This window comes from Homo sapiens, chromosome 2 (assembly GCF_000001405.40).
Source record: "Homo sapiens chromosome 2, GRCh38.p14 Primary Assembly".
Taxonomy (NCBI): domain Eukaryota; kingdom Metazoa; phylum Chordata; class Mammalia; order Primates; family Hominidae; genus Homo; species Homo sapiens.
Genome location: NC_000002.12, coordinates 30,545,471 through 30,571,380, shown reverse-complemented (window position 1 = coordinate 30,571,380; position 25,910 = coordinate 30,545,471). Strand labels below are relative to the sequence as shown.

Here is a 25,910-nt window from a genome sequence, read left to right as displayed (position 1 = left end):
TTGTAGACAAACATGAGCGTCCCACAAACAAGACTACTGACACTATATATGTAACCTGCATGTTAAGTCAGCAATTCTCTCTCCCTGAATACAAACCGAAGAATTTGGTTCAGGTGTGCTGATCCAAATTACCTAGTGGGAATTTAATTTCTATTTTGTGGTTAACCCTGTATCCCCCTAGAGTAATAGTGGAAAGATTACATCCTTCATTCCTTTATATTCAGAATTTAAGCATATGAGCTAAGTATGGATTGAAATATAAACTGCTTTCTTTGAATTCAAAAACAAGTATTTCAAACCTAAAACTCAAATAAATCTATATGATGATCTCAAGTCTTAATAATACATGAGCTTAAAAATCAGAAAGCCAGGCTGGGCCCCTTTGTGAGTCTTAGATTCCCATTCTAAAAGGAACTCTGGACTAGATGACCTCTAAGATCCTCCTCACCTCCAATCACTAATGAAACTTTTTCTCTCTTTATTCACTTGAACCCCCAGAAATGAGAGTTGCCCTCAACTCCCCAACTGATGCCTCCTTAGCCTCTTCCTGCTCTGCTCCCCCGTTATCTCAGGCAGCATCACAACCACCTGCCTGGTGACTACCATCTCTCCGTGTTCTGGCCATTTAGCCTCTTTTTAAATTCTTTTCCTATTTAACTCTTTCTTAAAGAAAATATTCCAGCTCACTAGTGTTAGAAAGGTGCTTAATGATCTGGAGATTTTGTTAACTAAAATCATACTATAAATACAAGCAGCAACTAGTTACAGTAGAAAGAACAAGAGCTATTCAGTTAGACAAACTGTATTCCAATAATTTTGATGAGGTTCTTTACCTCAATTTCTGCTTCAGTTTTGCACAATGAGATAAATATTTATAACTACCATGTACAGTTGTTGTGAAGATGAATTGATCATAGGCATAAAACACACAGCATAATGCCAGGTACATAGTAAATGCTCAGTTAACGTTAGCTGCTATACTATTATAGTTATCCTCATCATATTTTTTATTTTTATTATTATAGTATACAAGTCCCATTTTATGTTTCTAACAAATAAAATCATCTAACTGTTGTTTTCTAACTGAAATAAATGGAATCATCTATGTTTCTTTTTACTGATACAGGAGGGATGTTGGGGAGACCAGCTGTCACAACTGGCAGGAAAAATTACATACTGTGGTTGTTGACTAGTGCCTGGAGTGATGACTAATATACATTAACCAAAGTTATAAATCAGTTTGCTACTAAAATATTTTCCAGATTTCAAAAGAGAGCTCTATAGATTGTTCTATGATGTCAGAAATACCTTTAAAGGAATCATTAAATACTGTAAAATAGAAAAACATTGTTGAATGAGAAGGGTGAGTCTAAGTTACATGCCATAGTAAATGGTATCAAATTAAAAAAAAAAGCATCACTGCTTGAATGTCTTCGTGCCTCTCCACCCCATTCCACAGGCATGAAGAACTGTATTCTCCATGAACTTCCACGGGTAGATGGGCACTCACTAATCACATACAACATGAATATCAAGTCCACAAGTCCATGTTATATTAGTTGTAATCACGGAATTGCAAAAGCAAACCAAAGTAATATGAATAACATTTTTGGTTTACCATACCATGTGATTTTGAATTGATTGTGAACCTTTCTTTAAATCATGGGTACTTGGTTATAAATATGCTTCATCTTGGCAGGTTATACTTTTTATCTTAAAGTATATTAAATCCTAAAGAGAACAACAGTGATGCCATTTAGGGAAAGAACTTCATACCTTTTCTTACATAATGGTTCAAGACTTTTCATGTTATGCACAACAGTTTTATGAAAATATATCAGTTACCAGATGAAGGTGACATTTGTCACAGAGATCACCATTACACAATATGGCTTACTGGAAATCAGAGTGAAGAGCAGAAATGTGCAAACACACTTCTGTTAGTTGACTGTGGGCTTTGAACTGTTATAAAATTAACACTTCAGTATGTTTCCGAATAGTTACCTTTTCTTCATATATGTGTTATTTGTATGTACAAATGTGTATAAATATATAAACTTGCAAATATGCAGAACTATAATTAAAAAGTACAATTGGTTTTTATTTACATCAAAACCTAAGCATTTAAATGGGTGCGATATCATCAACGGAATCACTTTCTGCTCATATATGCCCCTGAATAGACACAGTTTGAAAGAAGTGTGATATGAGCCACAAATTAGGAAGCAGAAGAAGGTTCTATCCCTGACTCAAGTAACCTGTGAAAATGTACTTACCGCACTGGATGCCAGTTCTATTTAACTATAAAATAGTAGAGGTAGTGGCACTTGCCTTCCTACCAACCAGTTACTTGGTGGACTGAGTGAAATAATTAAAGTAAAATTATTTTTCAGATCGTTATATTTCTCTATAGCTTAAAATAGTAAGAGAATGATATATTCTCAAACCCTAAGAGCCAAACATATGGTTAGTTTAAGTGATAAGATTTTTTTTCTCTTTTTTTTTTTTTTTTTTTTGCTATTCATGATTACTAGAGAAATGGATTAAGTGACAAGATACTCTTAAGACATTTTTGGCCGGGCGCCGTGGCTCACGCCTGTAATTCCAGCAGTTTGGGAGGCTGAGGCTGCTGGATCACGAGGTCAGGAAATCGAGACCATCCCGGCTAACATGTTGAAACCCCCTCTCTACTGAAAATACAAAAAATTAGCTGGGCGTGGTGGTGGGCACCTGTAGTCCCAGCTACTTGGGAGGCTGAGGCAGGGGAATGGCGGGAACCTGGGAGGCAGAGCTTGCAGTGAGCCGAGATAGCACCACTGCACTCCAACCTGGGCAACAGAGCAAGACTCCATCTCAAAAAAAAAAAAAAAAAAAAGAAAGAAAGACATTTTTGCCACTTGGAGAAATATCCTAAAATGGAATTATAGCCTAACTCTCTATATACAAACATATATATATATGTAATATAGAGTTATGTCTGTTCCAAAAAAGGGGAAAGAATTTTTTACAGAGATCTCTTCTATATCTCTAACAAATACATGGCAAAACATTTTAGTACATAGGCCAACTTGGAATAAAAATACAATATCTCATTTCTTGAGACAAAGTAGTAAAAAATCCTTTACAAACTCTAAAGGGCTATATATAAAGCTTAGCAATTTTTGCCACTTTTATTAAAAAGTACATTTTGAAATGGGTGCTTACCTTCTCTTAGACGGTCTACCACAAAAGTAAAGCCTGTAGTTCTTGGATGTAAAACATATTCATATTTCTGAAGTCCATTTTTTTCAGCAAATGCATTACTTCGAGACTTGCTGTTTTCTAAACAAAACAATGGACCATTATAAATCATAAACTAAAGGGAAATAAACAAGGTAAGGAAAGAAGTGCAGAATTTTTTTTGATAAAAAATAGCTGTTAATTATTCTCTAATTACTGAATACTGAGTCAAATGAGAAGATACAAACATTGCAGATGGTCCATTATCAAGATCCCAGACCTACTTATGTAACCAGACCCAGGTTTGGCTATTTGCTGCTCGAAAGCCAAACACAAGAGGCCAAGTTTGGTGGGAGGGAAAGCAGGTTTTAAACAGAGAGCCAGCAAACTGAGAAGATAGTGAACTAGTGTTCTAAAGTCCCATCTTAAGTTTTAAAATTTATCATAGTGTTTTTAAAAGGAAACTTGCTGTAGGAGATGTTTGAATGGCACAGGGTCTGTGTGTCTTGTTCTGATGGCTGTCTCGGGTAACTGCCCATCCGGAGGTCCACTTGGCATTACTTTGACTTTAGCCTGATGGTAGTGGACTAACTGTTCATGACTCCCCCAAGTGGGAGGGTTCCACAGGGCCTCCATGCCTGGTTTGTTTCAAAATTAGCCCCTGGAATTTCTAAGCAAGCATATAGTAGATAAGCATACATGGTGCAAGGAAGTGTCTAGTGGAAACAGAAGGAAAACAGAGTTTCAAAGTACACTTCGAGGCTATATTCTAAGACTAAAGAAAAAAAGTGTTAAAATGCATTTCAAAGCTGAGATGCTCGGTTATACTTACTGAAATTAAAAAAAATTATAACAAAGGCATAAATCGATTTTTATACATTTTCTGAAATTCATATTCATATCTTTTAATTTGTTTAAAAGATTTCATGAAAGTCAACATTCAATGAAAATTAAAATGCTAATAACTAAATTTTTTTATAAAACAATCCCTATATAACAAAATTGAAATATTAAAATATAAAATGCTAATAAAATAAAACTAAGACACTAACAAAATACAATGACCTAGACATCCAGAAGAAATAACTAGCAATCAAATATATCAGATCAACATTCTTTAAAATCCAATAATTTAGGCCTTCAATGTGAACTGAAATATCTGCCTTGCTCAGGCACAGAGTATGTTAATATTACTAACCCAAACCGCTCCATAACAAAATGGGCACATGATTAGCACATCATGTACAAATATCTGAACATGGTTTGGCTGAATATAGTTACGGAGTCAAGTACATGTTCCAGTTGTTGGCAAAACCTTCTTTTTCCATTCCATGAGGTAACTTTACAAGTTCCAAGAAGAACCAAACCCATTATTCAGCAAATACATTTGGAAAAAGTAAAGTGTTCAGAAATTTGGCCTCAACTGCTGGGAGAGATCATGAAATACTTTCTGATGACAGCAGATGTTAGAACCCGCAATCCTCAGCTGCATTCCGAAATTGATAAACTATTATTCCAAGTCACAAGAAAAATATCTATATCGACACAACTTTACTAGGAGTAAATTTAAGATCACGGAGTCCTCAAAGTCTCCAAAAACCATAGACGACTTCCACAACACTGAAATATTCAAAGAACACTCCTATAGAAGGTGTTACATCATTTTATGATAAAGGAATTGAGCCGGGCAAGTCAAAAGTAAAGGCCCTACACATGAAGAGTAGTAAGTTCCTCTCATATTCATTTGAGGATATCCTGGGCATGGGGCTACAAAACAATATTTATATTATAGACAGCTGACAGGACCTTAAATGGGATTAGGAATCCCATAGACACCACAAAGATGAGTAGTAACTACCCTTTAGTTTGGTCTTTCAGTTTATAAAACTCTGGGGATTCTGAAAGCAAAACTGAACTGTTGTAGAATGTGAGTACAAGTATAAACAGCTCTAAAACAAACAGTCACAATGTGGGACGGTAAAAATGATCAGAAATACAGAGAGATTAGAGATGTAGACTTTTCCATCTACCCCCTACTTCATCTACTCATCCCCAGACTCTGTTATTGCACTAGCATCCCACTTTCTGACCACAGCCTCCTGTCTTGTCACGTTACTCCCTGTAATTCTCCCACTCCTACACTCCTTCCGCCCATGGGACTACTAGCAGCTATTCTCAAACCAGCTGGGCATGTTCCCACCTCAGGATCGGTGCAGTTGCTGCTCCTCCCTTCACCCAGAATGCCTTTCACCCATACAGCTGCACGCTTTTCTGCTTTGTTCATTTAGTCCCTACTTAAACAGAAACTTAACAGAGAGGCTTTCCCTAACCACCTTAAACAAAACAGCACCCTACACCCCTTCTATGACTCTCTCTCTCTCCTTATCCTGCCTTATTTTTCTGCATAGCACTTATGACTGACATATTTTTATTAACTTATTAGTTTATCATCTGTCTTTCCTCACAGAACGTAAACTTCGTGAGAGTAGGGATAAAGATCCAGGCACTCATATATGTATTAAAAAGAATAAGTTTTATGTATATAGGTGTTATGTTATATGCAATAACATAATTGTTAGAATCTTTCCAAATCAGGGAAATGGAACTCAAAATTATCACATACTAATTGTGATGGCTAATTTTATATGTCAACTTTAATAGGCCACGATACTCAGGTATCTCATCAAATATTATTCTAGATGTTTCTGGGAAGGTATTTTTTAGAAGAGACTAATATTTAAATTAGTAGACTGAGTACAGCAGATGACCCTCCACAATGGGAGTAGGCCCCATCAAATCAGGTGAATGAAGACCTTAACAGAAAAAGACAGAAGTGCCCTCCTCTCCCCAACAAGGAAGAAAGAATTCTGCCTCTAGACTGCCTTTGGCCTTGAACTTCGACTACTTCCCGGGATCTCCACTCTGCCACCCTACCCTACAGATCGTGGACTTACCAAACCTCCACAACTGTAAGAGCCAATTCCTTAAAATAAATCTCAACCTCTTTCTATATATACACATCCTACTGGTTCTCTTTCTCTAGAGAACCCTAACTAATATGCCAATACAATATAGAACTCCCTAACCCAAGAATAACGAAGACATATGTATGGGTGCACATATGTCTGTGTGTGACCAAAATGACTCAAAAGAAATGGACCAAAATTAAAATAGTGTTCACTTATGGGCAGTGGGATTATAGCAAGTTTTGTGCATACTTCTATGTTTCCAAATTTTCCCAAATTAACATATATTGCTTCCATTAAAAAGTTATAACCAACAATAAAATATGAAGATAGAATATATGTAAAGTTAGATTTAAATGCACTAATTTAAATGTACATGCAAGCTAGATTCAGGACTTAAATTATAAAACAGTCTCACTGGGCTGAAAAACCCAGTTTAAGGTTAAGTATGGTAGTAACTAAACACCTTTTAATTAACAGATACTTTTTCCAAACTGGAGATATTTTGTTAGCCTATTTTTTAAAATGATTTTTTACCAACTCAATAAAATTATCTGTATTCTACTGTTAAAAAAATGTTTAAAACTTCAGGATCAGTCTGTTTTTTCTCCTTGGCAAAGTCTAGCTTCAAAGGTAAACATCATTTGCATTTAAAATATATATGCAACTACATCATGTAATGGTGAGCACTATGGACTCCAAAATTATGCAACTAGATGGAGAGTTCATCACCTACAAAAAGAAACCTGAGAACAAATACAGAATGAAAAAAGTTTTACATATACATTTTATGACTCTGAAGGTCTAATGTATGAACATATTAACACTAATGTAGCAGTAACATATGACCTTTCTTTCATTAGTTTTTATTTACCAAATAACTTTCAAAGTTGGCATTCTTTGGTGTACATTTTCGCATTCACAAATATAAACCTATCATTTCAGTGAATGGCTTTCTATACTCTATATTTATTAAATAAAGCTGATATTTCAATATCAAAATTTAGGTATTATACATTCTAAATATTATAAAATTTAAATATGGCCACCTGTCACTTATAATTTCCTAATGATAATTTAGTTCTGGAAATCAACTTACAACTTACAATAATATATTTTCAAGCTTCAACAAGCAGCCATTATTATCCTCAGTATTATCCTCTGTGATCCAACCACTTCTAGAATCTCAACTGTAAAAAATCAAAAATATACTACACAGTTGGCATACATTTTAGAGATCTGACTAGTATAAAAAAAGTGCCACCGTTCATTTAGCTCAGTTCCATCTGCAATAGATGTGTCAAAGATCCCTTCATTGCTACCTATAGTAAATCCTAAAATACCTTAATTTCCCTTAACAACCTATTATGGCTCAGTCACCTATTCACTTGCTTAAATATGTATGTAATGTCTATTTTTCATCTTGAACTCTCTTTTGTAATAATGAGTTCCATAAATTATTATGTGCACAGTATGAATAGTATGTTTATTTACCTGTTCTCCTCTCTTAAATTCCAAGGGTTGCCCTTCTTAGTCTATTACCAAAAATTTGAAAGTTAAGTTCATGTTCTACCTGCCCATACTACTACAGATTTTAGACTTCAGTTCTCTCCTGCTTCAGCCTGTCTTCCCTTACACAGCAGAGCTGTAAGATCCACTGAATCCTTCTCAAATTCTGCTGTATTTCTCTTGAAGTTATCGGGACTATCAAAGGTACATTTTAGTCTTTTGAGTCCAAAGATTCTACAGAAATACTTTCTGTCTAAGCTATGCCCCCACCATCACCCCTCCCAGTATCAACCAGAGCAGTTCTGCTTTTATCCATCTTATTATCTAACATCCTTGATAGAAGGCTTCATCTGCAAAAATAATCCATGGTTTAAAAAGTGTGAAAACTACTGATTTAGTAAGGATGACAGACTGTTGAGTATTTTGTTTTCAGTCTTTTTAAGACTTTCTTGAAATCCATTGGCAATTCCTGGCCTATATGGTTTAAAATCTGGTAGCCAGGTGTGGTGGTAGTATCGGGTGCAGTCCCAGACACTATAAGCTTGAGCCCAGGAGTTCAAGGCTGTAGTGAACCATGATCATGCCACTGCACTCCAGCCTAGATGACAGGCTCAAAAAAGAAAAAAAAAAAAAGTTTAATATTTAGGAAGGCCGAAAAGTTATAAACATGTCTTCCTGTGTCCTTGCTACAACTCAATGATGGCTGAGTTTTCTTGAAGAAGGGCAAAGCTATTCCTGCTTGTAGCAAGGATAGGGCTTAAATATCAGGAGAAAGGTAACCTATTAACGTAAATCAACAATAACTGAAATTAGTTACTATCAGATCTTTTTCTTATGAGGAAGACGCTGAGGAGTAGGAAGGGTCTAATGGATAAATAAATACCTTAGAAGAGGATAAGAGAATATAAACAACAGGTAGGGGAGGATAAACATTAACCTAAAACATGATTTTAAAATTACACTTACATAAAGATAAAAGCCTGATATTTTAAAATATATTCTGAGGCTTAAAATATAAAGTTCAAAGATGGCAAGTATGAATAATATGACCGCTTGGAGTTGCCTACTATAAATTCAATGGGCTAGAAACCAAGAGTTCTGAGTCCTGACATGCTATTGATTAACTGAGTGACCTTAGGGATGAGCCATTAATTTTTCTGTTTTGTTTTGTTTTGTTTTTTTGAGATGAAGTCTCGCTATGTAGCTCAGGCTGGTCTCAAACTTCTGGACTCAATCCATCTTCCAGTCTCAGCCTCCTGAGTAGCTAGGATTCCAGGGATGGACCACCACACCTGGAAGAGCCATTATTCTTGTTGGTGTTCAGTTACTTCATCTGAGAAATGAGAAGTTTAGACTACATGATTTCTAACTTTGCCAAACCCAGGCTACATTACCTGTGAGATCAGTCCCTTCTGGGAATATGAGGAGTTGAAGTGGTTCGTGAATATCACAAAAGTAATCAATCATGTCTTCGAAATGGCTCTTGTCATCCTTCCATTTCCTATGAATGAAGATATAGGCAGCAGCCTGCATGGCCCAACCTAGAATCAATTTAACAATAAAATTTACCTATAATTTTATTGCCAATATCCACATATTATTGAATACAATATTTCAGTTTTCTGGTTTTACTATATATTATTTATTATTGTAAACATTTCATGATATAGCATAAATTCAGCACTGATCTTGGGTTAAATAACTAACATATATATAAGAGAATATCCTAAAAGAGATTTGGTAATCCTGAGGTTTGCAAAATTCTCAAAATTATCTTTTCAAGCGAAAACTAGCTATTAAAATATTAAGGAAAGAATTTTTCCTTAGTATTTATCACTAACTTATCCAAAATTTTAACAATCCTAACTAAACAGATATTTTAACCAAGATATCTACAGGAGATAAAAGAATGTGTTCTGACAGCTTACAGAGCAGTAAGCAAAAGACTGTCGTCAAGTATATAAGCATTCTCTTTAATATTTCCCTTCTGATACCACTCAAGTCTCTAAATCCAACTGCTATTTTCAATGTTAGCCACTTTCTATGTCATTGAAAAGAAAAGGGAAATTGTGCAATGGTACTAAACACATTAATCAGAGTGTACACTATGACTACATTCCTTTTCTCTAGGGCAAATCACCCTTGCTCTTTGAAGAGAGAGCCCTAGATGTGCCATGTTTTAGATGACCAGCCATCTCCCCAGCCACAATGACCAGACTACTACAGTAGATACCTAACTGAGGCAATCAATCCAATAGTCTGTCCAATAGCCCACAAAGCATGAAGAGCATGGACAAACACAGGAAATACCTAGGCCAACCAAATGTTCCCCCTCAGAAATTTCACCTAGGACCACAGAGAAACCAGACAAGTTGGTAGGATACAGTCAAATGGACAGACCAAAGAGCAGAGGGGCTGAGGCAGGATAAAAATAGCATACAAGAGGCCGCGTGTGGTGGCTCATGCCTGTAATCCCAGCACTTTGGGAGGCTGAGGCGGGTGAATCACCTGAGGTCAGGAGTTCGAGACCAGCCTGGCCAACATGGTGAAACCCTATCTCTACTAAAAATACAAAAAATTAGCCAGGCGTGGTGGCAGGTGCCTGTAATTCCAGCTACTCAGGAGGCTGAGGCAGGAGAATCGCTTGAACCCGGGGGGCAGAGGTTGCAGTAAGCTGAGGTTGCACCATTGCACTCCAGCCTGGGCAACAAGAGTGAAACTCCATCTCAAAAAGAATAAATAAAAGCATATGAGAGTGAAGGGCAAAAGCCCCCCAAAGCTGACTATGATTCATAACAAAAGACAGTTTTAATCTCCACAAGTCCTAGCCAGTCTACGGATCCACCTCTTGGATATCCATGAGAATCCACCTCTCTTCCTGCCATGCAGGAATAGAGGAATAATAAACTCTTATTATTTCAGCTGGCAGTTCCTTGCAAACAAAGAACGTAACTAAGACAACAGCTATCATCATTTGATAAATACAACAGAACCCTGATAATACATATACATAATCATTAAATTATTTACCAGTGATTAAATACACACATAGCCAGGCATGGTGGCTCATGCCTGTAATCCCAGCAATTTGGGAGGCCGAGGCTATGGATCACCTGAGGTCAGCAGTTCAAGACCAGCCTGGCCAACATGGTGAAACCCCATCTCTACAAAAATACAAAAATTAGCCAGGCATGATGGCAGCTGCCTGTAATCCCAGCTACTTGGGAGGCTGAGCGGGGAGAACTGCTTGAACCTGGGAGGCAGAGGGTGCAGTGAGCTGAGATCGTACCACTGCACTTCAGCCACACAACAACATAGTTGGGCAATGGAGCAAGACTCCGTGTCAAAATAAATAAATAATACACACACACACACACACACACACACACACACACACACACACCACACTTTATTTGGCCTGGGTAAGTCCAAACTAGAATACTGTATTTTACATATATAAATAAGCATATACAAAAAAATTCACTTCAGTGTATAAGTCTTGCTGATAAGCATCCAGTTACTAGTCACTATAATATCAGTCTCATCCACCAATATTGGACATGACTGTACACTGCCCGCTCCCACACATCTGTCCTTCATCTGAGGACACTTAGGCCCACAGAGCAGTGTGTGTAAGTAGTATAGCTCTGGAGTGAAACCACTACAAGCCAGCTGTTCACCCTTCAGACTCAAATATAAAATGAGCACAATGCAACAGTATCTACCTGAGGGGGATTGATGAGAGAAACAAATAAGATTATTTAGCACAGAGTGTTCAATGGGTAGCTATTATTAATTAACAAGTTACAATAATATCAAGAATATTACATCAAGGATTGTAAAATGTAACAAAAGAGTTCCTATTCACAACAGCAAAACCAAAATGTGCAGAAATAAACCTAATTAACTTGCAAGAGCCACATGAAAACAATTACTTAACTAGAAAGAGATGAAGAGATTATACAATGTTTTTGAACTCAACCAGTGATGCCAATGATCTCCAGTGAAAATTTCAATAGCATGAGGGTGTGTGAGAATTTGGCTGACAAAGCCAAAAATTAAATAAAGCTATAGATTATCTATAATAATAAAAAGGTGAGAATATTCAAGATAACTTTGCAATAGAATAATAAGCAGGAAAGACATGAACCATTAAACAAGTGTATTATGAAGCAACAATGATTAAATCAAAAGTACACCTGCAAAAATAGGTGAATGGAAATGAATGCAAGACTTAGATAAAAGTCCTTGAATATGTTAAGGATTTGGTATACAATAATGACAGAATTTCAGATAAGTGGGTAATGACTGAGTTGGTGTTTTTTAAACATTTTTATAGAGGTATAACTTACAGTGAAGTGTGCGGACAGTAAGTATATATAGGTAGAGAGCTTAATAAATTGTCACATATACATATATGCCTGGCTATCACCCAACTAAGATATTGAACATTTCTAAAATACTCAAATGCTTCCATGTGTCCTATTTCCAGTCAATACTTCCCCTCCCAAAAGAAAACCAATACTCCAACTTCTAACACCACAAATCATATAAGTAGAATCACACAGTATATATTCTTATGTATTTTGCTTCTTATGCTCAATATTTCGTCTATGAGATTCATCCATGTTGTGTGGCAGTATTTTCTTCTTTGCAATGCCAGTATCAATGTAACTGCTGGTGTCAATTATATAAATATACCACTGTAGACCAATATACAGTTTATTTATACTTCTTATGAAGATTCCTTGTATATTAGGAATAAAGTTAATATAGATAATCTTGTACCTGTCTTTCGTTAAACCTGAGCACCCATTTCTGCTAAGTAGATAACCAGCAGTGAAACTGATGCCTCATAGGGTTTATGTCTGTTCAGCTTCAGTAGATAGCACCAGTTCTTCAAAGTGATTATACCAATTGCCACTCCCACTGAAAATGTATGATCGTTCAGATTGCTCTATCTATATTTTCCCCGACACTTAATCTTAGGAGTTCTTTTCATTTTAGCCATTAGAATTCATGTGTAGTAGTTGTGATTCACATTTCCTATACAATAATGCTGGACACCTTTTTTTTTTTTTTTTTTTTTGAGACAAAGTCTTGCTCTGTCACCCAAGCTGGAGTGCAGTGGTGTGATCTCGGCTCACTGCAACCTCCGTCTCCTGGGTTCAAGCAATTCTCCAGCCTCAGCCTCGAGTAGTTGGGACTACAGGCACATGCCACCATGCCCGGCTAATTTTTGTATTTTTAGTAGAGACGGGGTTTTGCCATGTTGGCCAGGCTGGTCTCAAACTCCTGACCTCAGGTGATCCACCTGCTTAGGCCTCCCAAAGTGCTGGGATTACAGGCATGAGCCACCACGCCTGGCCAAATGAGCACCTTTTCATATTCAAATTAGTCGTTCAGATTTCTTCATTGTAAAGTACCTCTTCAAACCTTTTGTGTATTTTTTTAATTGATTTGTCTTTTTCTTAGTTTTTAGGATATAAAGTCCATCAGGTATAAACACAGACACACACACATACACATATACAGAATATAAATATATACTCTTCTCCATGTACTTGTGTTTTCTGTGTCCCGCTTAAGGAATCTCTGCCTATCCCAAACTCATTAGGATGTTATTCCATGTGTTCTTCTATTAGCTTTACTGTTTTAGCTTTCACTAGTTCATGATTGATACATTTCAAGTGAATTTTTATGGATTATGTGAAGCAGAGGTTAAAATTGTTTGTTTTCTGAATGGATATTCAATTGACCAGTGGCAATTATTTGAAAGGCCAAGAGATTATTAATTTAAATAAAACATTTTAAAAGCATTATAAAAGAAATACATGTACTATAACAAAAAGTCAAATAATACAAATTTAAGTAGACTAAAACATAAAAATACTCCTTTATCACCACTTCCCTCAATCCTACTCTACCAGTCATAATCTCTTATTTGTAATCATGATTAAAAATTTGATGTGGGCAGGGCACAGTGGCTCACGCCTGTAATCCCAGCACTTTGGGAGGCCGAGGCAGGTGGATCACCTGAGGTCAGGAGTTCGAGACCAGCCTGGCCAACATGATGAAACCCCGTCTCTACTAAAAATATATAAATTAGCCAGGCATGGTGGTGCATGCCTGTAATCCCAGCTTCTCAGGAGGCTGAGGCAGGAGAATCACTTGAACCTGGGAGGCAGAGGTTGCAGTGAGCCAAGATTGTGCCATTGCACTCCAGGCTGGGCGACAAAAGTGAAACTTTGCCTCAAAAAAAAAAAAAATTGATGTGAATTTTTCCACTCCTTGAAAATTTGTTACATACATGATTGGTGCTTTTAAAAAACATGTTAGTTCCAGTTAAGACTGGTCATACACACACACACACACACACACACACACACACACACACACACACGATCATACCTTCTACACTGTCCTACAATGTGTTTATTTCATTGACCATGTCTATACATAGGGAATTACTTCATTTTATAAATAACTGCATTGTATTCTCTGTAGCAATTCTCAAACCAGTTTTCTCTTTTTAATTTTCCAAACTTGTATGAACTGAGTTTTGTGAAATACAATGAGTTAGTAGAAAAATAATCTCACACATGGATGTGGTAACAATGTCACATTATTATAAGAGTTTCTAGGCCGGGCATGGTGGCTCATGCCTGTAATCCCAGCACTTTGGGAGGCCGACGCAGGCGGATCACGTGAGGTTGGGAGTTCCAGACCAGCCTGAACAATATGGAGAAACCCCATCTCTACTAAAAATACAAAATTAGCCGGGCGTGGTGGGGCACGCCTGTAATCCCAACTATTTGGGAGGCTGAGGCAGGAGATCGCTTGAACCCGGGAGGCGGAGGTTGCAGTGCGCCGAGATCGTGCCACTGCACTCCAGCCTGGGCAACAAGAGCAAAACTCCGTCTCAAAAAAAAAAAAAAAAAAAAGACTTTCTAAATACTCTATTTCTGTTCTTATCTTATTGTGGAATATTAACAGTTTGCTGACTGGTATTGTTATACAAATCATACTTTAATAGCACTGCTCTACAGCAGAGATATACCCTGATTATCTAATAACCTGTTATCATTTAGGCTACACCCTGAGAATTTCTTGTCTTTATGATAAAAGTTTATGCTGTTCACATTTATTGGGATTTTTTTTTCTTTTCCTGATAGCTCATTTTATGTTTCCTGTTTCTTATACTCCCTTGTGGTTTTTTGCTCCCCCTACCCTGGTCCATTTTTCTCCCATTTTCTGTCTTAATTGAAATTAATTTCCTTTGTTCCCTCCCTTTGTTCTCTAATGTGGAAAGGAGCAAGCTATGGCCCATGGACCAAATCCACTCTGCTGCCTGTCTTTGTATATATGGCCCACAAGAAGAATGTTTTATGATATGAAAAAATTACATGAAATTAAAATTTCAGTGTTTATTTATAAATAAGGTTTTATTGGCACTCAGCCATACTCATTTGTTTATGTATATTGCCCATGGCTGCTTCATTGTTACCATGACAGAGGAAATAGGTACAACAGAGATAGTATGGACCACAGCCTAAAATATTTATTACCTAGTCCCTTACAGAAATAGTTTGTTGCCGGTCACGGTGGCTCACGACTATAATCCCAGCACTTTGGAAGGCCGAGGTGGGCGGATCACAAGGTCAGGAGATTGAGACCATCCTGGCTAACATGGTGAAACCCCGTCTCTATTGCCCCAGCTATTCCGGAGGCTGAGGCAGGAGAATGGCATGAAACCAGGAGGCGGAGCTTGCAGTGAGCCCAGATCGCGCCAGTGCACTCCAGCCTGGGCGACAGAGCAAGACTCTATCTCAAAAAAAAAAAAAAAAGAAAAAGAAAAAAAGAAATAGTTTGTTGACCCCTATTGTAGTAGTTTGGAAATTGTATACCCCATTTTCTTCTTTTAGAATTCGCCCTTAAAATTTTTTCACCCTTCCATTTTTGACAAATGTATTTAAACATCTAATTCTATCAACATTGGGTTAATAAATAATAACCCCCAAACAAAAAAGCATGCCCTCAATTCTATCACTAATTAAAGAGTTTAGTTTACATTTAAATTTCTTAACATAGTAATAGTATTAAAAAGGATATGCTTTCCTCTTGCCTTTCTTATAAGATTTGTAGAAATCACCCAACAGTTGCAAAAAATACTATTTTACTGCAACAGCAATTATATAATAATTACTGTATTATTATAACTAACACAATCCTTAAACTTGACAGAAACATTTATTATTATTTAGATTTGACCATAAGTTTGCGGGCTTCTTTGCTCATCATTTCTTCTTGTTGCCTATGTCTTTCTGTTAGTTCTCCTCAAAATAATTTCTTTTAAAAAATGTTTGAGTCTTTGCATTCCTGAAATGTATTTGTTTTGTTCTCAATTTTAGAGGCTAGTTTGGCTAAAAACAGCATTTTGCGGTTCCAAATCATTTTCCACTGAGAATATCAAAGCTATTTTCTATAGTTTTCTATCATTGAATATGGCTAGTAAGAAATCTAGCTATACAAATTTGTACAGATAACTAAGTTTTCCTAATCGGATAATTTATTTCTTTCCTCTGGAAGCTTTTATAATTTTCTCTTCACCCATAGTTTTATAGAAATTCATCAGTGTTAGTCTAGGTATGGAACTTTTTTCATTAATTCTGCTCAGCAGTTGATAAACTCTTCCAATATTTGAATCTTTCTTTAATATAGAAAACATTCCTTCTGTTTAAGAAAATATATATTTTTTTCTCTTCATTCATATTTTCAGCTGGAAGTTCTGTTAGATGTTAAAACTTCTGGATCTCTCCTCTCATACTTTTCATTTCTTTTGCCATTTGACAACTTTAAGGATAATCCCTTGGCTTGATCATCTAACTAATTTGTCAGCTACACCTGTTCTACTAATTTAGTTTATTTCAAAAATCATATTCTTAATCTTCAAGATTTGCAAATGGTCTTTTTCATAGCAGCCATTTTTAGGAACAAATTGTGTAATTATAATAAAAAGGTTTACTGTGTGCTTACTATATGTCCAATATTGTTCCAAGCATTTTTCATTAATTCAATTAATTCTCAAGACAACCTTATGAATTAAGTAAAATTATTATCCCTATTTTATGGATGAGGAAACTGAGAGACATGAGGGCTAAAGACATGGTAAGTGGTAAAACCAGATTTTAAACACAGGCAGTCTGACACCAGACTTGATATTTTTAAATCACGGTACTAAACAACCTCTCTGCATAGATACTTGAATCTTTCCACAGGTATTAATTACACATAGTTTATATTCTCCTTAGAGAATTATTTATTTGTCAGAGATTAGATTTTCCATTTTTTAGTACTAGATACTGTTTAACATTTTCCTTAAATGTTTACTAATCCTGCAGAGTCTCATATTTGTAAAGGATGTTCTAGACTGAACAATACTGACAGGTCGAATGTATTTCTGCATTGCAAGTGAGAATACCTCTTGCTCCCCATGTGGGATGGAAGTGGTAGCAATATCCATGAGGTTTTGCTATAAAACTTTTCTAATATTTTGTTACATATCTTCTAGAAACTCCAAGCCAATGTTTCTAAATCTTTTTTACTTCTTTTAGCTTAAATGTTTTTCTCTTTTTTTCCCGATAAAAAAATCACAGGAATACCTGGCAAGGGGTTTGGGTTTTTTTCCATTTGATTGTCATCAATGCAAATTGTATCCATGTTTAAAGTGTTACTCAGATTTTTCTTAATGTTAAGATCCTCAAAAAACACATTTTTATGACATTTATTTCATATTTCTATGAGCTAATGATAGCGCAACCTGTATCTTTAAAATCAGCATATATAATTTGTCTTTTTTTTTTTTGAGACGGAGTCTCGCTCTGTCGCCCAGGCCGGACTGCGGACTGCAGTGGCGCAATCTCGGCTCACTGCAAGCTCCGCTTCCCGGGTTCACGCCATTCTCCTGCCTCAGCCTCCCGAGTAGCTGGGACTACAGGCGCCCACCACCGCGCCCGGCTAATTTTTTGTATTTTTAGTAGAGACGGGGTTTCACCTTGTTAGCCAGGATGGTCTCGATCTCCTGACCTCATGATCCACCCGCCTCGGCCTCCCAAAGTGCTGGGATTACAGGCGTGAGCCACCGCGCCCGGCAATTTGTCTTTTTCATACTTTTCCACTGCAGGATATTCTGTCTTTAACCTGAATTTCTCAGACGAGGGCTGGGAGTCTGGCAGGTTTATAAAGATAGAATCTATATATACTGGCATAGCTCCACTACCACCATCTTCTTTCTAAAACCTCATTTACGTTATCAGCATCGCCTTCTCAAAGCAGTTGTAAATAATCCCTCGGCATACTCTATTGTCCAAACCTATCTCATCATTTTAGAACCTAGTTTTGACTTACATTCCCTTTTACCAAGTTTTAGCGTTGCCTAGGGGGAGAAAAAAATAACCATTTACTTGAATGTGTATTTTGGCATTATGCATTCTTAATAAAAAGTAAGCCTTTTCACAACTTTTTTTTTTCATTTCAGTGTAGATGAATATAGTTAACTGAGTAATGAAAACATCAGCACTACTCACCTAATGCTCTAATAACTCAATCTCAACAATAGGGTAAAATTTATCACTGCTGTCCTTGTAGTAACTCAATATGGCATCTACTATGGCACTATGAATATGACACCAGAAGAAAAAGCAGGGCGGAAGAAAGACAGACAACTGCTCCTTCGACATTATTTTCAATCCTGAATAAACGATGTGGATGCAACCACAGAAATGCTACCCATAGGCCTCTATTAAATGAGAATGAACAATAGGAACAGATGCAAATTTTATATAAACTTTTATCACAAAGATCATAAGAAAATACTGTATTTACTGAGTATGGATCTGTCCATAATTAATAGTAGTTATACAAATAAATCAGGGAGTTAAGTAACAAGTAGTTATACTTTTCAGAATTTCAACTTTTATTAGGGTGCTAAATGCTGGATAGATAAAGTTAAGGAAGATCTATCTTTTCTGAACTCACATTACAAACTGGGTAATGCTCTCCACATCCCTCTTCTAAGATGATTAATTTCCACGAAGGCTTTTAAAAACTCTGATGACAGGTAATTTTATGACATTTTTGCAGCAACAATCCTGTTGTAGTATGCCTGTATCATTAGGTTTCAAATGTGACTGTGCTGAAAATACAAGATAGAAATCAAAGTATAAAATATGAGCAAGTAATAATTACATAATACTCTAACAAACTTAATTCTAAATATAATTTCAAACTTGACACACCAAAAAGTGGAGAAAAATGGAGAAACCACTTGTACTACAAATTTCACTAGACTCCACAAACATAATCATATACACATGCAGACAGTAAAAATTCTTGCTTGACAATGAGGCTTCTTGGTCATGTTACAATTTTGGGGTTCATGTTAACATGAGAGAGACCAAACTCATCTTTCATATTATATGAGATTGGAAATTTGACCAATTTTCTAAATGAGCTATTATCTGAGATATTTCTTCCTGTTGCAAAACTGATTCCTAAGTACATTCCTAGCTTTGCACACTGAGAGGACCTATAATCAAAGACATCCCAGTAGCAATTAACATATGGTAGGCAGAATAATCATCCCCCAAAAGATGTCCACATCTTAATTCCTGGAACTGTGAAGGCACTGTGTTATACAGCAAAGGGGAATTAAGATTGCTAATCAGACGAATTTAAGGTAGTGAGATTAGCCTAGATTATTCTAGTGGGCCCAATGTAATCATAAGTGTCATTAAAGGTGGGAGAGAAACCCCATAAATATATACCTACTATGTACCTATGAAAATTAAAAATAAATTTTTTTTAAGTGGAAGAGGGAGGCACAAGATGACTTAGTACTGATGTGAGAAGGACTCAACCAGCCAATGCTGGCTTTGAAGCCAGAAGAAGGGGCCACAAGCCAAGGAATGTAGGCATCCATTAGAAGCTAGAAAAGGCTAGGAAACAGATCCCGTAGCAATCCTACAGAAAGAAACCAGTCCTGCCAATGCCTTGATTTCAGCCCAGTAGAACCCACATCAAACCTCTAAAACTGTTATATAATAAATTTGTGTCCTTTAAACCACTCTATATTTGTAGTATAAGCTGCAATGGAAAACTCATACAGAGCATAGTAAGTGCCTAGATTTTAGTTTCTCACATCATTCTTCATAAAAAAAAGGGATCTAGGGCTCCTTAGCGAAATGCTGAGTCTAGGGATGGGGCAAGGAAAAATACAAGATGAACCTGGAGAATTTAAAGTGCCAAAAAAATAAGTGGTTAAAAGAAAAAAGATGGTAGTATGTCAAAAGGACATAAGAGCCAACCTTCAGGCACTCCCAGGCTAGGCGCAGTGGCTCATGCCTATAATCTCAGCACTTTGGGAAGCCAAGGCAGGAGGTTGGCGTGAGCCCAGGAGTTCAAGACCAACCTGGGCAATGTAGCGATACCCACCACTTCTCTACAAAAAAAAAAGTTGTTGTCTTTTAAAATTTATTTTAAATTAGCCAGGCAAGGTGGCATGTACCTATAGTCCCAGCTATTAAGGAGGCTGAGGCGGAAGGATTGCTTGAGCCCAGGAGGTCAAGGATGCAGTGAGCTGTGAACGCACCACCGCACACCAACCTGGATGACAGAGCAAGACCCTGTCTCAAGAAAAGAAAACTCCCAATGGCCAAAGCTGGCCATTACTTTCAGCAGCAAAATAATGATAGTACCAGATTATAATCTAAAAATTAAAATAAATATCAATGAGTCCATATTGATATTATTAAATTACTAATTAAATAAATGGGGAGTAGGGGCAAATATTTTCCACAGAAGTATGAATAATATATATAAATAGTCTGCACTCCAGGAAGTAGAGCTTCATTCCTTTCCCCCAACAGCCAGCCTTTGAGTGTGGGCTGTGCTTAGTGGATTGAGTATGTAAATGTAAAGGGGAAAACAGCATCTTTGCAGTAAAGAAACCTGACAGATACCACCTTAACTAAGTGATTAAGATTAACATCACCAGTGATAAGCCATGTTGATATCATGAACCTCTGACATGAGAAGGGTACTCCACCTCTACAGTATTCTTCCCCCAAGCCTACAGCTCTAGTCTAATCACAAGAAAACATCAGACAAACCCAAACTGAGGAACATTCTACAAAATGTCCAACCAGTACTTTTCAAAGGCACCATGAAAAGCAAGAAAAGACTATCACAAAATGAAGGAAGACTAGGAAGATACAATGACTAAAAAGCAAGGTGGTATTCTCAGTTGGATCCTAGAACCACAAAAGGACATTAGTGGAAAAATTGGTGAAGTCTGAATAAAGTCCATTGTTAATAGTATTGCACCAAAATTAACCTCTTGTTTCAACAGATATACCATATAAGATGTTAACATCAGAGAAGCTGGGTGAAAAAGATAGGAAAATTCTCTGTACTGTTATTACAAATTTTCAATAAATCTAAAATGATTCCATATAAAAAGTTTACTTCAGAACATCTATTTGTTGATGCAAACTTGTGTTTGACTAAAAAAATACACAAATAATGGCCATTTTCCATTCAAAATCAAGGCCTAAATAATCTTACTTGGAATTCGCTTACTATACCATATTACTTGGTTGTAATAATTGAAGATTATCAGTAACAGCATTTCTAAAGATATAGTTTTGACATTATTTTCATTGTGGAAGAACATTTTTAATTCTTGGCTACATAATATGTCCCTGCCTGGTATTCATTACACAACAGTGTAACACTCAGAAACATCTGACTTCAAGCATAAGGAAAATATTTTCTGTAAGATTTGTTATATGAAATAAATGGAGAAAAGCCATATTTTTTAAATGACATATATAATAAATACAACAGCTAATTCATTTTCCCCCAGGTCTTACAATGTTGCCTTTCTCTTTTAAAATACCTGCACAATTTACAGATACTTAGCCCCAAGACAAAGAACAACTGAAGGCATGGAAGTCAAATTATCTATTAAAGTTACCAACTATGAGATACAGAGGGTTCATCTTGCATATCTTTTCTATTATTATTGCAAAGTGCCATTTCAAAGTTGGTTCAAAACTGATTATTATGTGATTTATTTCATTTGTGCTTTTCCACCAAATACAAAGCAGATTCAAAACCCTAAAGCTCCCTCCAAATTCTGAATTTCTTTCTACTGAAGTTACCATTATAAAAGCATATCTTTTAGATAATTTTAGAATGTAATTATTAATTTAAGCAAAGGAATTCCTCAATTTTCAGCAGACCTAAGGGTACTAAAAGTACTAGAGGTGAAATTCGCTTCCTAGCTCACATCTGGGATATCTAGCAGCCTAACGCAATGTAAATTTGCTGAGGTATTAGAAATAGTACACATCAACAGGATATCCAATTTAGGTAACCAATTGCATTAATGTCAGTAAGTGATTGATTAGATAACCTTAAAGCCCCCAGCCATTTCTCCTGGCCAAAGAAACTGTCAACTTCACACAGCTCAGGGCTTCAGCTCTGTTCAGAAGTCAGATAACACATTCAAAACAAAAGCTTCATTTAAGTTATTTAGATTTCAATGCCATCCTAAAAAATTACTTAGTTCTCAATGTCATTCTAGAAAGAAAGGTAATCCTGGTAAAACTGCCTGGCAGATGATTTAAATGAATTGAACCTTTCTTTTCTTCCCAATGGAAGAAAGTAAAGGCTAAGCTCTAATTTTTTATCTTGCCCAAATTCCTTTCTAAGGGATCTAGGGAGTCATGCCCTACAAACCATAAATTCTCATCACATGAGCTTTGTTTAACCCTGTATATTGTGACTTACTTTCCAGTCTTACTCAGGCATAACAAGGGAAAAAATCAAAATGTTTTACCCCAAAATATATTACCTTGCCATACTTTGAAATTGCCTTGTAAAGTTTTTTGTGGGAAAAATCCACATTATATAGATAATCCCCTTATCCCTTTATTTTCCTTCCTTTCTTTCCAGATCTAGGAGATAATCAGCTAAGAGCCAGACACCCTTTTAAATCTGATAAGAAACATTTTACAACCTGCTCTCTCTCTGAAGTTTGCTATCTGAGAGATTCCTCTGCACAAAAAAACCTGGTCTCCGCAATCCTTTACCTTAACCTAAACAATCCTTTCCATTAATCCCAGGTCTTCACATAAACTCGGCCAATTGTAAACCAGTAAATGTTTAAATTTACCTATAGCCTGGAAGCCCCTGCTTTAAGTTGTCCCACCTTTCTGAACCAAACCAATGTATTTCTTAAATGTATTTGATTGATGTCCCGTGGCTCCCTAAAATATATAAACCCAAGCTGTACCCCGACCACTTTGGGCACATGTTCTCAGGACTTCTTGAGGGCTGTGTTACAGGCCATGGTCAATCACATTTGGCTCAGAATAAATCTCTTCAAATATTTTACAGAGTTCGATTCTTTTCGTCAACAAACGTATATCCCCACTACTTACCACCCTCCCGGCCATGCATCAAAACTCATCTCGGCCAAGCAATGCTGGCAACCAAAACTACAAAATCAACAATTACCAAAACTTTATGTTTCAAATACCAATAGAATTGCTAAAATGAAATAATCTGTTATATATCTAAAAACAAGCAGAGATGTATGTGTGTCTTCCAGGCAACAGAACTAAAATATGTTTAACATATTCTACTTTATTTGATGGTTTTCATAAAAATTTTCATTCATGACTAGCATTAATAAAATTTACTGAACGAGTAAATCAAACAATGGATACATTTCTTATGGCTTGGTGAAATAGGGGAAAGCAAGTTACATCAGGATGCTTTTGGCTATAAATAACAGAATACCAATCTAAAAGTCATATAAACAATTTGGGTTTACGCTTCTCACGTAAAATAAAGTCTGGCCCCAACGCTAGTTCAGGAGCCAGGATCTCCCACTCTACTATGCCATCCTCCTGATGTCTGAGGACCTCCCCCTCTTTGAGGGAATGCCTGCAAAAGTTCCAAGCCTCATGTGCTAACACAATACTGTCCACAAGCAGAAAAGAGTGGCACTGGACCTTCATTGACTTCTTTCATCTTATTAAGGAGGAGTATCTTTCCCAGAGACTCCAACAGACTCCCATAAGACCCTTTGGTTAGACTGGCTCAAACAACCATCCCTGCTGACAGGAGGCTGAGAAAGCCAGTATCTGGTATTTTCATTCTCTGTCATAGGATGTGTGCATCACAGTGGTTCACTGTTAAGATTAGTAAAATACTACTTCTGACCTTTAGTTATTAAGTAATATGTGGAATAACACAGAGGAAGAAGGCTGTTGTGAAGCTTTATATGATTATTTAATAGGATACCATAATCTTATCAATATAATAAAGAAGGCCAGGACATCAGAAAGTTTGCTGTGACAGTAATAGCTATAGCATAGTTAATAAGTAGCTAGGAATCCTTGACTAGAAGCCCCCTTTGAAGAAAGAGTCACAGGTGGAGCTTCAAACACACTAGCTGCAGAGATTCATTCCAGGAAGGCTCAAGCTGTTGTTACTTTTGGGTAATAAGGCACCTTTACCTACTGTAGGTAGCAAAACTAATGCCTATGATTGCACTAAAGGAACTGGCAGGAGTGGAGTGTTACTGAGTCCTGTGGGGGCTTAATTTGGGAAGGGACAACTAGCATGTGAGTTTCCTGGCACAAAATCGCCAATAAGATGAATCTATTCATCTTAATACATTCATCAATAAGATGAATCCATTCATCTTATTCTTGTTATGAGCAGGAGGGCAGCATGAAATTGTGTTGAATTAAAAAAAGAACCCACCAAACTGGATAGAGTCAAAAATATTCATGACTTTGTTCTAATTTTAGTGAATGTCTGTTTTAAGTAGGAGGAAGCTGGGTAAGAAAGGGGGAGTTTTCCTTCTCACAGGAGGTAAAGTTAGGCATTATAGATTTTAAATATGTCAAACAGACATCTATTCTTTGTGGCTAACATGTGATAGTAAATAAAATTAAGGTGACTTCAGTAAATTTAGTAATTCTTAAAACTGTGTTAGCAATGGCACATTTATTTACACAAATTTATTGTAATGTTTATAAATACATCAATAAACTACAGATCAAACTGAAAATCTGACCACATGAGTCTTTCCAATTCCCATATCACTGTATTGAACCACTTTCATGTTAACAGCAGCATGCATTATAATCATGTTCCTATAGTGTACTAAAAAGGTAAACAACACATTGTAACTGAGTTGTTTTTATTCATGATCTCTAAAAAGAAAAATTCATATGTAAAAATACCAACAGCATGTAAAATAAAATTCTAATCATTTCATCAGATTTGACTAAAAAAATTATTTAATATTTTGGCAGTTTATATTCTGGGAGGCTGAACTTCTGAACAGCTTCCTATCCAGTTTCCATTATCCTGTGAAAGCAGCCCACTACAGGAACTTCTACATATCCAATAACAGTCTTCGTATGTCTTGAAAAACTGAGAATGGATGAAAGCATTCATCAGAGGCCATGCTGTTCCTGCTGGCTTCTCTCTGATCTCACTCTGAATAATCTAGATATATCACAATGTGGGCCTTTCCTAGTTTTCACCACTACACTACATTGCAGAATGTAATGCTTTAGAATTCCAGAATTATATAACAATTTAATATGAAATCATGAGGTCATATCAGGAAAATTTCTGGCTTCATCCATGACTTGGACAGGTTTTAAATCACTATCTCTTTAATATTACTCTCCTTTTCATGCTTTCTAAAAGGCTCAAACTCTTTTCTCACTCTACAGTGATTAATGATCCAGAGAAACCAAGAAGCCATGAGTTGGGTACGTACAGTTGGCACATGCATTTCCTGGCACAAAATCACTAGGCAAATGGACTTTTTATGACTGTTTTAAGTTTAATATTTCATTTCACTAGTTAAGTGGTCATAAAATTGGCTAAAAGTAAAAATCTACATATGCACCACCATCAGAGACAGTTGAACTCTATGAAACATTTTTTCTTAAAATCTATTCTGTATATCTTAATAAATTCTAAACAGTTTAGTTAATTTAACAAAACTCTTTATAACTTGACCTGAAATCTAAATACTTTTAATGATTTATTTCCTACCCTGTTACATAGGTCTATTGCTTTTATACTTTAAGAAAAGAACTTTCTATTCTAAACTCTCAG

At 36.3% G+C, this 25,910-nt stretch overlaps 1 protein-coding gene across 11 annotated transcripts in view; it reads right to left on the bottom strand.

Moving 5' to 3' along the window:
* LCLAT1 (lysocardiolipin acyltransferase 1) overlaps window positions 1-25,910 on the bottom strand; it is a 196,980-nt gene that overhangs the window by 72,845 nt on the left and 98,225 nt on the right. For 9 of the 11 annotated variants that reach the window (NM_182551.5, XM_005264245.4, NM_001304445.2 and 6 more), the window contains 2 exons: window positions 9,089-9,235; window positions 3,205-3,321 (listed from right to left, as the gene is read on the bottom strand). In NM_182551.5, coding sequence (NP_872357.2) covers window positions 3,205-3,321; window positions 9,089-9,235 — 264 coding nt within the window. Of the gene's footprint in view, window positions 1-641; window positions 1,732-3,204; window positions 3,322-9,088; window positions 9,236-18,731; window positions 18,889-25,910 lie in introns of those variants that run through there. The other 2 variants (NM_001304446.2, XM_017003747.3) reach the window with 2 other exon arrangements.